Source organism: Homo sapiens, chromosome 7 (assembly GCF_000001405.40).
Source record: "Homo sapiens chromosome 7, GRCh38.p14 Primary Assembly".
In the NCBI taxonomy this organism is placed as follows: domain Eukaryota; kingdom Metazoa; phylum Chordata; class Mammalia; order Primates; family Hominidae; genus Homo; species Homo sapiens.
Window position 1 is genome coordinate 12,646,840 of NC_000007.14, and position 14,340 is coordinate 12,661,179.

General features: G+C 37.6%; 1 protein-coding gene across 3 annotated transcripts in view, besides 1 other annotated feature; it reads left to right on the forward strand.

Annotated features, from left to right (window-relative positions):
• The window catches only part of SCIN (scinderin), an 89,463-nt gene extending 76,120 nt beyond the window's left edge, over positions 1 to 13,343 (forward strand). For 2 of the 3 annotated variants that reach the window (NR_156701.2, NM_001112706.3), the window contains 3 exons: positions 2,628 to 2,705; positions 5,002 to 5,062; positions 5,749 to 13,343. Coding sequence is in view for 2 of the 3 variants with exons in the window: in NM_001112706.3 (NP_001106177.1) it covers positions 2,628 to 2,705; positions 5,002 to 5,062; positions 5,749 to 5,876 (267 nt within the window). In the remaining variant the exon portion in view is untranslated. The remainder of the gene's footprint in view (positions 1 to 2,627; positions 2,706 to 5,001; positions 5,063 to 5,748) is intronic. The other variant, NM_033128.3, reaches the window with a different exon arrangement.
• Positions 13,536 to 14,085: an enhancer, noted in NCBI's record as "OCT4-NANOG hESC enhancer chr7:12700000-12700549 (GRCh37/hg19 assembly coordinates)". NCBI's record gives its function as "activates a minimal SCP1, AML or CMV promoter by ChIP-STARR-seq in naive H9 embryonic stem cells {active_cell/tissue: H9 hESC(naive)}" and the evidence as "EXISTENCE:reporter gene assay evidence [ECO:0000049][PMID:30033119]".

Here is a 14,340-nt window from a genome sequence, read left to right on the forward strand (position 1 = left end):
TCAAGTCTCCCTTGAAGGTTATAAATGATTTGACCTACAAGTTAAAGATTTAAACAGTGCATTGAGATAAATATTTGGTTGCTGTATACCACAATTTGCTCACCTACTTTACAGGAAATCCCTGAACTTGCTATATTTTATAGATTTGTCATCAGAAAAATCTGCTGTTTTATTGTTTTGACTTGATATTGCATCCAAGCAACTTATTTTTCAGCATATGCTCCTATAATTTCTTATTAGAATTATTTATTAACATTGCTATAAATTAGTTGTTTGTTTCCAAGAAAAATGTATTTTACAAAAATAAGTACCTAGGCTTTGTTCTCAGTGTGTTTAAAGAAAAAAGATCTGTTAGTCTTTGGCTTTTTGTTATGCGTATATATTAGCCTTTAAGAGAAATATACATTTCCTCTGCACCAACTCATTTTCTTGTTTGATATTTGGAACCCCTTCTGCTCCCTTTATAGTTTAAGGCAAAGGATTGTTGCTAACAAATCTTTGATCTTATAATTACTATCAGAAAGTAGGCTTTACACGTGTAGATTCCTACAAGGCAGCTACAAGGCAGCAGAGCTTATTAACTAAAAGCACAGCTTTTAGAACCAATCTGCCCATGTGCTGTCACTTATCTGGTGGTAGTACTTGCTGGCTGTGTGACTTTAGGCTGGTTACTGAGCCTGTCTGGGCTGTAGTTGTCTCAACTCTAAAATGGTGGTAATCTTAGTACCTACTTCATAGAGCTGTGAATATTAACTTAGCTGTTGCATATAAAACATTAGAACAGTGCTGACGTCAAGTTAAGTGCTAAAGTTTTTCTTTTTAAAATGATTATGTGATTGGTGTATGTCCTCTAAAAAGATAATATAAACAAATCCTTTGCCTTCTAAATGGTCAAGGTTTTTTGTTTTGTTTATTTTGTATAACAATCTCAAAATCTCATCAGATTAGAACAAACATGAATTGTCATGCTCAGATGTCTGCAGGCTGCCAGGAACTAGGTTTATCTATGCTGGGCGCATGTTTTGAGTTTATACATATTTTTCCAGTGACAAAGTCAAGGACACAAAAAGGCCCTTGCTGAGTCACCTTTGCTAATATGACATGGCCAACGCCCCAGTCAGCTCCATAGCACCGCAAAGTCACATGCCAGAGGGAGTGAATAAAGAATGGGGAACCATAATCCAAACTCCTGCGTAAGGATCAGGGGGGTTTTCACTCAGAATTCTCTAAAAATACTGAACTTTAGATTAATACATGCCCATTGGTATGTATTACCAATGGGTGGATGAAGCTAACCCTTCCATTACCCTTTAATGCTAACTATAATTTAACACAATTTAACCCATTAAAAATAAAAAAAATTTTGTACATGCAAATATTATGTTATAATGTCATCTTATTGAAATTTTTTGATTTATTAAAATGACTAGGCCTATTGACTTTTTCTCTCTCTCTCTTTTTTTTTTTTTTTTTCTGAGACGGAGTCTCATTCTGTTGCCCAGGCTGGAGTGCAATGGCACGGTCTTGACTCACTGCAACCTCCACCTCCCAGGTTCAAGCAATTCTCCTACATCAGCCTCCCAAGTAGCTGGAACTACAGGCACCTGCCACCACACCTGGCTAATGTTTGTATTTTTAGTAGAGACAGAGTTTCACCATGTTGGCCAGGCTGGTCTTGAACTCCTGACCTCGTGATCCACCCAACTCAGCCTCCCAAAGTGCTGGGATTACAGGCATGAGCCACCACGCCCAGCCCTATTGACTTTTTAAAAGTAATCCTAACCTACAAAATGAAAGATAATTTAATACTCAGACCATAAACTCAAATGTTTTTAGGAACTAGATAGGCAACATAAATCTGTGAAACAACTATTCATAAAGGACTGGAAGTACAGAGGATTGTGAGCAAATTGACTATATATGTGGGCATTCAAATGTGTCAACCCTAAGGATGAGATTTAGAAAATACGCTTAAATATATAGTTTATTGAGATGCAAGGCTTGAGGATAGCCACCCAGAAAACGCTGACTCCAAATGAATGGGGTCAGCATTTTAAAGTGGAGGAGTTAAAGTTTCACTGACAATAGGCAGAAACAGAGAAATTTTAGCAGGATTATGTAATTTTTTATATAAGACCAGTGTATACTGACAGTGATTTGATTGGTTACAGATTGCTATGAATACATTCCAAGGAAGAGTACTTTCTTACTCTGTGAGGAGTGGTGATATGAGGGGGGTCTTATCTCTGGCACTCTTTGGTCTTCCTAATTATTTGCAGAAAAAAAGACAAAAGCTCGAGTGCATGCCTCAAGACTCAGGCCACACAGCCGCATTCCTCTCAAAGTTCAGAATAATTTAAGGTTCCACCAGCTTTATATTTGACTTATTTAATTTCACAAATGCAATGTTTATATTAAATACTGTTCTGGCCAAATAAAATACTACTAGTTTGTGATGCCAAATCAATGAACAATTATTTAAATTTTTATTACGTGAAAAAGAAGAAAAAAATTACCACCAAATTTTATTTTCACTATACTCAAAAAAAATACAGGGCATTTCTATCCTATGTATTAGAAAAATTACTGCTTTACTTTTTGCTCATATAGCTTTTTATACCTTTCAGATTGAAGAGATTCCAGGAGAGTTCACCCAGGATGATTTAGCTGAAGATGATGTCATGTTACTAGATGCTTGGGAACAGGTAAAACTACATTTTGTTCATAAGAAGAGAATGCATTTTTGGTTGGGAGATGACAGAACTTGATCTGAGAAATGGTAAGTCTAGATATAAATGAGCCTAGAGATTTAGGCTGTATTTAAAAAACACACACACACATTTGGTAAAAAATGAAACTAACACATATGGCAAGTTGATTTCTTAGTATGAAAATAATTCCAGAGCTACCATCTTTGGCTTTACAGTTGTAGGCAAAAAACTTTTATTTTTCATTTATTTGTAAAAGTTACTCATTCCTAATTTGTTTATAATTCATTTAACTAACAAGTGCATTCGTGTGTACAGTGTCATGGGGGTACAATGCCATTGAGGAAACCGACATATTCAAAGTTTCTTTTGAAATTTGACAAGAAGTCATGGGTAGCCCTCCCCTGGGGAAGAAACAGGCAGAATAGTTTTGAATCTACACAGTAAAATATGTTCCTGTTTTATTTATCTTAATTTTCAAGGAAATTAGTGGTGATTTGACGTGCCACATCTGATAGGTTTTTAACCTCTAAATTAACGGTGAAAGAGAAAAGTAAATATATTATGAACTAAATTATATAGAACAAGTGTGAAATGCTTATCTGAATTAGGCCTAGTCGTAGAGTCAAGCACAGAGATTGTTCCTTTTAAGTTTGTTCCCAATTAATAAACCATTCAGTTATATCACACCCTAGCTTCTGATCTACAATGACCATGTTTGACTTGAGGGCCCAGGCTCAGATTCTTGCCAAGTGAATGGATTACTTATTTCTAGATGAGAATTAAATCTCCAGGTCAATAAAACATTCTTGTGTATTTAAGAATTAAAGAAGAATTACACTTCCTTATTCAGATATATATTTAATTTTTCTCATTTGCAGTCAACTCCTGTTTCTGTAATCATGGGTACTTTTTGGAAGATTTCCCATGCCACATTTCATTTTTTAAAATCATGCCTTTTATTTACATTACCATGCTTTCATGGTTTGTTCTGTTCCCTGCACACAAATGTTTCAGCACTTTCAGTATGAAATAGAACACAATCTAAATGTAAGTGACCGAAATTGCTCTGCCACAAGTGATTTTAAAGTGATTTCAAAAATAAGGTAATTCAGGACATTTTTTTCAGCATTCAAGTACCCCCACCCACACACTTGACAAGGAGGAGGATATATACAGATTGTATAATTATATCAATTTTTTAAAAAACACATTGCTATTTAAATACTAAACATTATAGCATTTGTACCAACATCTTATAGGGAGGGCAAGCTACTAGAGGAGAAAAACACTAACCTTAAATCAAAGGTTCCTAGAGGGAGTCTGGGATCACCCACAGACAAGCTCTACACGTGGTCTACATGTGGTCTCTTCCAGCCAAGATCCACCTCTAGGAAATGGGGATAATGACTGTGTAAGGGCCAAGGGAAAATTTCCCCTTCACTGTCCACAGGTTCACATAAAAATCAGTTGATAAAGGGCAGATTAATAGGAGAAAAGGCATACAAATATATTAATGTTCACAGGAGTCATACAGAATGCAAGAACTAAATAAATGGCTGGATGGTTGATGCTTTTCTACCATTTTGAAGTTACAGAAAGAATGGGGGATTGCAGGATGGCAAAACTGGTTATGGGAGGGAGAGAAGAGGCCTGGCTAGGAAAGATGGTCTTGTTATGGATAAAACCTCACATAAAGTATAGATGGTAAATGTTTCTTTCAGACCTTTAAGAGTGTGATACTCTCAGTTAATCTTCCCTAGATCCCGAAAAGGGAGGGCCTCAAAGAAAGTCCGGCTGCACCACTGCAGATTCTCTACAGATGCAGATCTTCCCCTACAAAAGGCAGATTTGCAGGGCTATTTCTGTTTGCAAGTCCTCTGAACAGCCATCTCGAAATATGTCAAAGAAGTGTATTCGGAGGTGAAATATTTTGGTTTCCTTCGACTGCTGTCACACCCTAGGGGGTGGATGAAAAAAAAAAGTCCACCCAGACAATCTGTTTTTTTTTGTGAAAGATCACTTTACAAACTAGAAAGTACCATGTAAACATAAAATATCCAAGTGTGAAATCTGAAGTGAAACAGGCTGGATGTAGATTTAGGTGTCTCCTGATGAGTGTGAACACTGGGAAAGTGATGGTACCTCTCTGGGCCACCACCTCCACGTCCCTAACTTCTGCGGATATTGTGAAGATTGAATGAGCAATGTGTGTGTGAAGCACTTTACATAGGGCCTAGCACTGAGTCAACATCCCAGAAATCATACATATTGTTATTGTTTCATTTTTCAGATATTTATTTGGATTGGCAAAGATGCTAATGAAGTTGAGAAAAAAGAATCTCTGAAGTCTGGTAAGCTCAATCGATGGACCATTATAGCAGTAACCGGGCACCATTATGACCGAGTGTCTGGCTTGCTCTTTGCCACCATGTCTTACAAAAATACATTTCAAAATCAAGAAGTAGCTTAGCATTCCTCCTCAAAACTAAAGAGTAATGGGATTTTTTGAACTGGAGAATTTCCAAATGGGCACAAGAAAACAATATGTTTTGTTATCTAATCTAGAATAGAATTATATCAATTTAATCTGAAAACTTAAATTAATTTCAACCCTTGTTTTATTATAAGAGTAAAACCTCCATGACTGTGATAAGCCAGATTTTTTAAACTTCCTTTTGACTATGCTGTTCTTTCTGGCACAATTTTCCTTTTACTGAAACGTATAACAATAATTATGCCACAAGGACAATTCCATAAAACTTGGAATTCTTTCAGGCATTAATGAGATTCACATGTTGCCTTTCATGGCAGACGAGAGAAATCAAAAAGAAATTGTATTTGTCTACCTGGTCAATGGAAATTTATTACTTTGATTTGAAGAATTGTATTCGAAGAATTTTCATTTTCAATGTAGCCAATATTTATTTGTTCTTCTGGAAATTTAATTCATTACTTTTATTCGAAGAATTTTCAATCTGCAGTTACTTTAGTTTAACCCAAACTAACTGAATTTATATGTCTTTACAACTTTTTTTAGCCAAAATGTACCTTGAGACAGACCCTTCTGGAAGAGACAAGAGGACACCAATTGTCATCATAAAACAGGGCCATGAGCCACCCACATTCACAGGCTGGTTCCTGGGCTGGGATTCCAGCAAGTGGTAAATTGGTATTTGTAAAAAGCAAACAAACATTACAAGGCAGTTATCTCATTGCTGTTTTGGGAGAGGAACGGGAAAAGCTTTTTGCTTATTTGTCTTTTGAAAATTAAGGCTGGGCGCGGTGGCTCACACCTGTAATCCCAGCACTTTGAGAGGATGAGGTAGGCGGATCACTGGGGTCAGGATTTCGAGACCAGCCTGGCCAACATGGCGAAACCTCGCCTCTACTAAAAATACAAAAAAATTAGCTGCGCGTGGTGGTGCACGCCTGTAGTCCCTGCTACTTGGAAGGCTGAGACAGGAAAATTGCTTGAACCCAGGAGGCTGAGGTTGCAGTGAGCCAGGATTGCGCCACCACACTCCAGCCTGGGCAACAGAGACTCTGTCTCAAAAAAAAAAAAAAAAAAAATTAACCTCAACCAAACGCCTATTTTTTAATGCTTAGTTTTGGCTTGAAATTCTTCTTCACCTGGAGTTTTCTTACGTTAATACATTAAAATAACCTGAAGGAAACTTTCGTTATGGGCCAATATTAGCTCTTATGGAAACTGATTTATATCTTTTTTATGACCTTTCAAAAGTAAAATACTATGCATAATCTAGAAAGATTTGTCAGATAGGAAATTTTATAATGCATTAGCCATTAGTCAGAGTTGTTTTTTAACATGCCAGAGAAAAAGTTGTAATGCCTTGGAAGTTATTCTCTTTTCTATAGATTGTGTTCAAAAGATGTGTATACTTGCAATAAGGTTTATGTTAAGGTGGCTTTAACAATTGGTTGCTATTTTCCTTCTTTAGTCAATATGACTTTGATGTCATTAACTGCTAAGTGTTATTTTCTAAGAGGAATTTTATCTTTTTTTTAACCTTATTAAAAGCCTTTGAAAACACAGCTCTTTCATGACAAAATGAATTGTATTGTTATCCACTTAGATACATGTACATGTACAGTACATGTTTAATATCACAGGAGATCAAAAAGACAATGCACAGGGGAGTATCCCAGGGAGCAGAGCCAAGTTCAAGTAAGTTAACGATATCAAGTTACTTACTGGCAGGTAGCCACTAGAGAATCTTAGCAATTTTTGTCCTGCAAGATTTCAGCAAAGCTACAGAAAAGTGAGTTTTTATGTTTTCCATTCTTCCCTTTTCTAAGTAATAATTTTTATCGCAGTTACCCTGATTCTATTCCATTCCATTCTATTCTATTCTATTATTTCATTCTATTTTATTTCCAATATACCATTGTATATCAGTATATACTGATACACTGAGTGGCAGTTGCATTATCTACTAATCTATATAGGTCATTGAAAAAGAAGAAGCTACGTTAGAACCCATGGAAAGAACTTTGCCTCATGTAGAGATTCTAGATTCTTAGCCAAAAGCTCAGAATTGTTGGGCCCTAAAGGATGAACAATGTAGGGTCCAACAATTCATCCCACATGAATTTTTCTCATCCTTCATGTGGAATGAAAAAACTAAAGAGACAACTGACTTACCACACAAATGGACTATGGTAGAAGCTGCTGTCCCTTAGTATTGAATATCTCTATTTTCTTTTAATCATAGAATTCACTGATATTTTAGCAGATAATGTGGCCGTCCAGGCAGGCATGAGATTTCTCAGCCTTACTTCAACTTGATTATGACCATGTGACCCAATTCTGACATTTGCCTAAAGGAAAATTTACCTAAAAAGGCGTTTTCTTGCTATGGCAGTGTAACCTGTACTAATAAATATAGTGCTAGTCCTGCATGCAACAAAAATGATGTAAGTAGACATTTAACATTTCTAGGAATGTAATTGAGTGAAAAATAATTTTTAAAAATATTTATAAATATCTTCTGGGTCAAGCTGAATATTTTTTGAAGGATGATGAGAATAAAATGATTTAATAAGTAGTACTTTTTCACAAAATTAGTAAAGGTCAAGGTGAGTGGCTTAGGGTACACTGTATTTTACGATGTTTCTCTAGTTTAGCCAGTGGTTTTTCTCATCTCCAATTTATAGCACAGGCCGAGGCATATAGTAGGGTCTCAGTTAATATTTATTGAATGGCAATATCAAAAATGAGATCAGCAGCAAGATGATAAGGCAGAATAAAAGTTGCTGAGAGCCTAAAATGATTATTCAGTTCTGTTGCAGGGTTTTAACCTGCCCAAAGGATGGAAAAAGAAGAACATAAGCATAATTTCTGAATGCATCACGGCAAAGATGCATGTACTCATGAAGCATAAAATTAAAAATATGATACATTCACTACATGAAAATATGATATACGGTTTTTCTTCAGTATCCGCGGGAGATTGGCTCGAGGAACCCCATGGATACCAACATCCTTGAATGCTCAAGTCCCTTATATAAAACGGCATAGTATTTGCATAAAACCTATACCATTCTCCTGTATACTCTAAGTCATCTCTGCGTTACTTATAATACCTAATACAGTGTAAACGCTGTGTAAACAGTTGTTATACTATATTGGTTTTTTAATTTGCATTACTTTTGTATTGTTGTATTATTTTATTGTTTTTCCCCAAATAGTTTTGATCCGCAGATGTAGAACCCACAGATATGATAAATCAACTGTATCTAGTACCCAAAACAGATGAGTAACTTAGAAATTAATATGTAATACATACAGCTAATGTTATAGCTACTTAAGGAATTCCTTTCACTGAAAAGAAACTCTTACAAATCAATGAGTCAACAACCCAATGGAAAAATGGCCAAAAGACATGAATAGAAGTTCACAGAAAAGAATGAAAATGACCAGTAAATAATGAAAAGATGTTCTAAGACACTCTTAATTAAATAAATTCACAATAAAATAATCATACTTTTATCTATCTACCAGATTAGCAAATGTTAAAATATTAAAATGTTAGTGGTCATCAAAATGTAGGGTTACAGGTTCACCCATACACTGTTAATAGATGTATAAACTGGTCAAAACTTTTTGATCCATAGCACAGTATTACTTTTGTAAACATACACAAAAAATATTATATATTTGCCAAACGTATGTACTAATCTAAAACCAAACACATTAGACTAGGTACATGTGGAGAAAGAGATACAGGTGTTCCCTAGCAAGTTAATATGCTTGTGTCTCTTCAAACCAATATATTGGCATATTTATCTAATATTTAATCAGAAGAAAGAAAGAACAGAAAGACCCAGGAAGCCTACTGTTAGTAGAGGTCAGCCTCATCTTTTCTCTCTGATTCAAGAAATTCATACTCAACTCAGTCAAACAGAGGTCCTGCATTTACCTCTTGGTGCCGGAGAGCCTTGGTGAGCCATTTAGATCCTCTGTATCTTCTCAAGCACAATCCTCAGTGTTCTCTTCTCGTCTTAGATAGCTCATCAAATAATATTTCCCACCACTTATTTCTAGCAGTTCTGGTAAAGAGAATGGCCTTCACATTGTATTTTGAACAATGTTTTGGCCTCCAGTAATGATTAGGAACACACTATAAACATAAAACATCAGTCCACTTAACTCATTATTCAGTCATCAAGCAATTCTTGTCCCAATCATTCTCCAAAGCTATATACTGTGAATTTATACTGTTGTGTAGTGACACAAGCCCTTCTGCTGAAAAAGTAGGTAGATAATTACTTTGAACTGAAAGAAAACACTTATTTTATTTTCTTTTAAACCTAATTTATTTTAAACCTAATTTATTTATTTTAAACCTAATTTATTTTAAACCTAATTTATTTATTTTAAACATTTATTTTAAACCTAATTCATTTGAACTGAACTTGAATTTAAAAGCCTACAAATGCCCCGCATATGTAGAATTATCATTCATTCCGTGTTCTTGCTCTTGGATAAAACGGACAACTCAGAGAAAAAACTGGCTTATAAATGCACTTCACAAAAACTGTTAGAAAAGTAGCCATTAAACCTGTAAAAAGGCCGGGCGCAGTGGCTGACGCCTGTAATCCCAGCACTTTGAAAGGCCAAGGCGGTTGGATCACGAGGCCAGGAGTCCGAGACCAGCCTGACCAACATAGTGAAACCCCGTCTCTACTAAAAATACAAAAAATTAGCTGGGCGTAGTGGCGGGCGCCTGTAATCCTAGCTACTCGGGAGGCTGAGGCAGGAGAATCGCTTGAACCCGGGAGGCGGAGGTTGGAGCGAAAGTACGCGCCACTGTACTCCAGCCTGCGTGACGATGAGAGTCTCCGTCTCGGGGGAAGAAAAAAAAAACCTGTAAAAAGTGGCTCAACTTTAATATTCATTAGGAAATGACTAAAATCAAATATTTTACTTGGTAATGCCAAGTAAAAATACAGGAGAGGATATAGTGAAACTGGAGCTTACATCCACTACTTGGGAAGTATAAATTGATACAATGGGTTTGAACAGTTTTTGTATTTTCTACTAAAATGAACATACACATATCCTATAATCCAGAAATCCCACTCCATGGTGTGTACCCAACAAAAATGCATACATGTGTGTACTAAAGGATATAATATGATTTTTTTTTTTTTTTTTTTTTTTTTGAGATAGGTTCTCACTCTGTTGCCCAGGCTGGAGTACAGTAGCGATCTCTGCTCACTGCAATCTCTGCCTCCTGGGTTCAAGCAATCCTCCCACCTCAGTCTCCCCAGGAGCTGGGACTCTAGGTGCGTGCCACCACGCCCAGCTAATTCTTTGTAGAGATGGGGTTTTGCCATGTTGTCCAGGCTGGTCTTGAACTCCTAGACTCAGGAAATCCACCTGCCTTGGCCTCCCAATATGCTGGGATTACAGGCATGAGCCACCGCATCTGGACACGAATTTTTAAGTTTTATATATGTGTGTGTATATATATATATATATATATATATATATATATATTTTTTTTTTTTTTTTTTTTTTTTTTGCATTGGCAAAAAAACAAAGATATTGTTTAGCAATTTCCTTGTATAATGCAATCAGTGGAAGACAAATCAGAGGTATTATTTTCCCTTGGGCCTTTGCAGCCTGTGTTGTTTTTCTCTTTTTCATATTGATGTGAAAAGCAGCCAAGTATTATTTGACAACATCAGTCCCTTATTAAGATGTTATTTCTAGTTTATAATTGACTATGGCATTTGCATGCATTTCATCATGTCTCCATTTCTTCGGAATGATAATTTCTAATATACTTTTCTTCTATTATAGGAATAAGAATTCAGTAGTCATATTTCCTGTTGCCTATAAAAAATTGATGCTTTAATTTAGTTAACATGACAAACTCCATCTTATTTAGAGAGATTATTTTTGATGTTATTATAATAAAAATGACACCTTTACTAAAAATGTCTCATCATAAATTGTTTTCCATTATTTCTGTGCTGATTGCAAACAATACTGAATTAAAATATCCCTGCAAGTTCACTGTGACTCAATCTAAGGTTTTAATAATTCATGAAATAAAACTAATGTTGATGTTATCCAAATCATTCTAACGCCAACTTCTAGGTAAACAGTAAACAAGAATAAGCAAATTTGAGTTTTCCTAATTATTTGACATTGTCATTAGCTTGTGATCCTTAGATGGAATATATTTTGCCAGATCTCACCTCCCAGGGAACTGATGAGCTTTAACTGGAATAGTAGTGAGAATGATAGAGCAGGGCCCTTAACTCCTTAGAAAGGTCAAAGGAAGAGGTGAATGTGGGCAGGGTTTCACTGGAGTATTGACACACCAAAGATGCTATGTAGGTGAAAATCTCTCCTAATGCATTCCCTTTCCAACGAACCTGAGCCTGGATTCTTCAGTAACACAATGCCTTCTGAGAAACAATGTTGTTCCACATTTTAGAGTTTTGGCATGCATAATGGAGTTTATGGCAGAGTTCAGAGGATACAATGAAACAAGAAAGGGAGGCAACTGATGTTGTTTGATTATCTCCATTATTTTGAAGGAGCCAGGTGCTTGGGGAACCTGGTTGTACAGAAAGGTGATGCCAAGACTCTCTTGTATGATTTTCCTCTCTAGCTTGGGGCTGCACCCTCTGCTGTGGGAAGGAGTCCTCAAGGTATTAATATACATCCTATCATTTATTTTAGATACAGATAGCATTAGAGTTTATCAGTAAAGTTGGGCAACTCATGGAATATTACGAGTAGAAATTGTAATTACTGTAGAATGTATAGTGTTTTGAATGGCTATTGTATTTTTCAGCATACAAATTCAGAGGGGTGAAAGTAGGCAATGACACCACTATTTATGTTTTTTGTTGTTGTTGTTTGTTTTTGTTTTGTTTTGTTTTGAGATGGAGTCTTGCACTGTCACCCAGGCTGGAGGACAGTGGCATGATCTCTGCTCACTGCAACCTCTGCCTCCCGTGTTCAAGCGATTCTCCTGCCTCAGCCTCCTGAGTAGCTGGGATTACAGGCACCCGCCACCACACCTGACTAATTTTTTGTATTTTTAAGTAGAGACGGAGTTTTGCCATGTTGGCCAGGCTGGTCTTGAACTCCTGAACTTGTGATCCACCCTCCTCTGCCTTCCAAAGTGCTGGGATTACAGGCATGAGCCACCGCACCCAGCCCTATTTATGTTTTTTAAAAGCACCATTTACCACCCATTTGTCTATGGACTTAATCTATGTCTCTATGAGCTGGTAAACAATAGACAGGTAAATACAGACTTGGCTGTATTTGAACAGCACCTTCAAAAACCAGAAGCCAGAAATCAGGTAGCTAGATTTGTCCATGAAAGCAGGAGATTCCCTTAACTGGTGATGCCTGAAGTTGGGATAAAGAGTCTTCCAAACATGTGCCATTTTGGCATGGATATCTAAAGCCACCATGATGGCTTTATATTAATGAAGGAAATAAGTTGCAGGATAAGTATATCCATGGTCATCCAGGGGAAGAAAATGGCGTACATAACTTATATACCATATTTAACCCAGAGACAGATATCACAGGTAAACAGTGCAAATCACTGTCCCTAGTCTGAGCCATATTTAGTGTCTTGAAAGAGCCACAGTGGCTGGCTAAAATGGCACAGTGGCAAATCCTGACCATGGACTGCCCTATGCAAAATAACTAGCTCCCCACTTTACACAGAGTACACCATGTCAGGCCTCTGAGCCCAAGCTAAGCCATCATATCCCCTGTGACCTGCACATATACATCCAGATGGCCTGAAGCAATTGAAGATCTACAAAAGAAGTGAAAATTACCTTAACTGATGACATTCCACCATTGTGATGTGTTTCTGCCCCATCCTAACTGATCAGTGTACTTTGTAATCTCCCCCACCCTTAAGAAGGTTCTTTGTAATTCTTCCCACCCTTGAGAATGTACTTTGTGAGATCCACCCCCTGCCAGCAAAACATTGCTCCTGACTCCACCGCCTATCCCAAAACCTATAAGAACTAATGATAATCCCACCACCCTTTGCTGACTCTCTTTTCGGACTCAGCCCGCCTGCACCCAGGTGAAATAAACAGCCTTGTTGCTAACCCAAAGCCTGTTTGGTGGTCTCTTTACATGGACACGTGTGACATTTGGTGCCTAAGACCCGGGTCAGAGGGACTCCTTCAGGAGACCAGTCCCCTGTCCTCACCCTCACTCCGTGAAAAGATCCACCTACGACCTCAGGTCCTCAGACCAACCAGCCCAAGGAACATCTCACCAATTTCAAATTGGGTAAGCAGTCTTTTCACTCTCTCCTCCAGCCTCTCTCACTACCCTTCAATCCCCCTGTCCCTCTAATTCCAGTTCTTTTTCCTCTCTAGCAGAGACAAAGGAGACACATTTTATCCGTGGACCCAAAACTCTGGCGCCAGTCACAGACTCGGGAAGACAGTCTTCCCTTGGTGTTTAATCCTGGTGGGGATGCCTGCCTGATGATTCACCCACATTCCATTGGTGTCTGATCACCGCAGGGGTGCCTGTTTTGGTCATTCACCCACACTCTATTGGTGTCTGATCACCGCAGGGATGCCTGTTTTGGTCATTCACCCACATTCCGTTGGTGGAAAGTCAATTGCGAGGACGCCTGCTTTGGCTGCTCACCCACATTGCAGCCCAGGGCTGCTCCCCACCCCCCTTCTCCATGTCTCTACCTTTCTCTTTAAACTTACCTCCTTCACTATGGGCAAGTTTCCACCCTCCATTCCCCCATCTTCTCCCTTAGCCTGTGTTCTTAAAAACGTAAAACCCCTTCGACTCACACCTGACCTAAAACCTAAATGCCTTATTTTCTTCTGCAATACCGCTTGGCCCCAATACAAACTCGACAATAGTTCCAAGTAGCCAGAAAACAGCACTTTTGATTTCTCCATTTTACAAGACCTAGATGATTTTTGTCAAAAAAATGGGCAAATGGTCTGAGATGCCTGATGTCCAGGCATTCTTTTACACATCAGTCCCTCCCTAGTCTCTGCTCCCAATGCGACTCATCCCAAATCTTTCTTCTTTCTCTCCTGTCTGTTCCTTCAGTCTCCACCCCCAAGTTCTGAG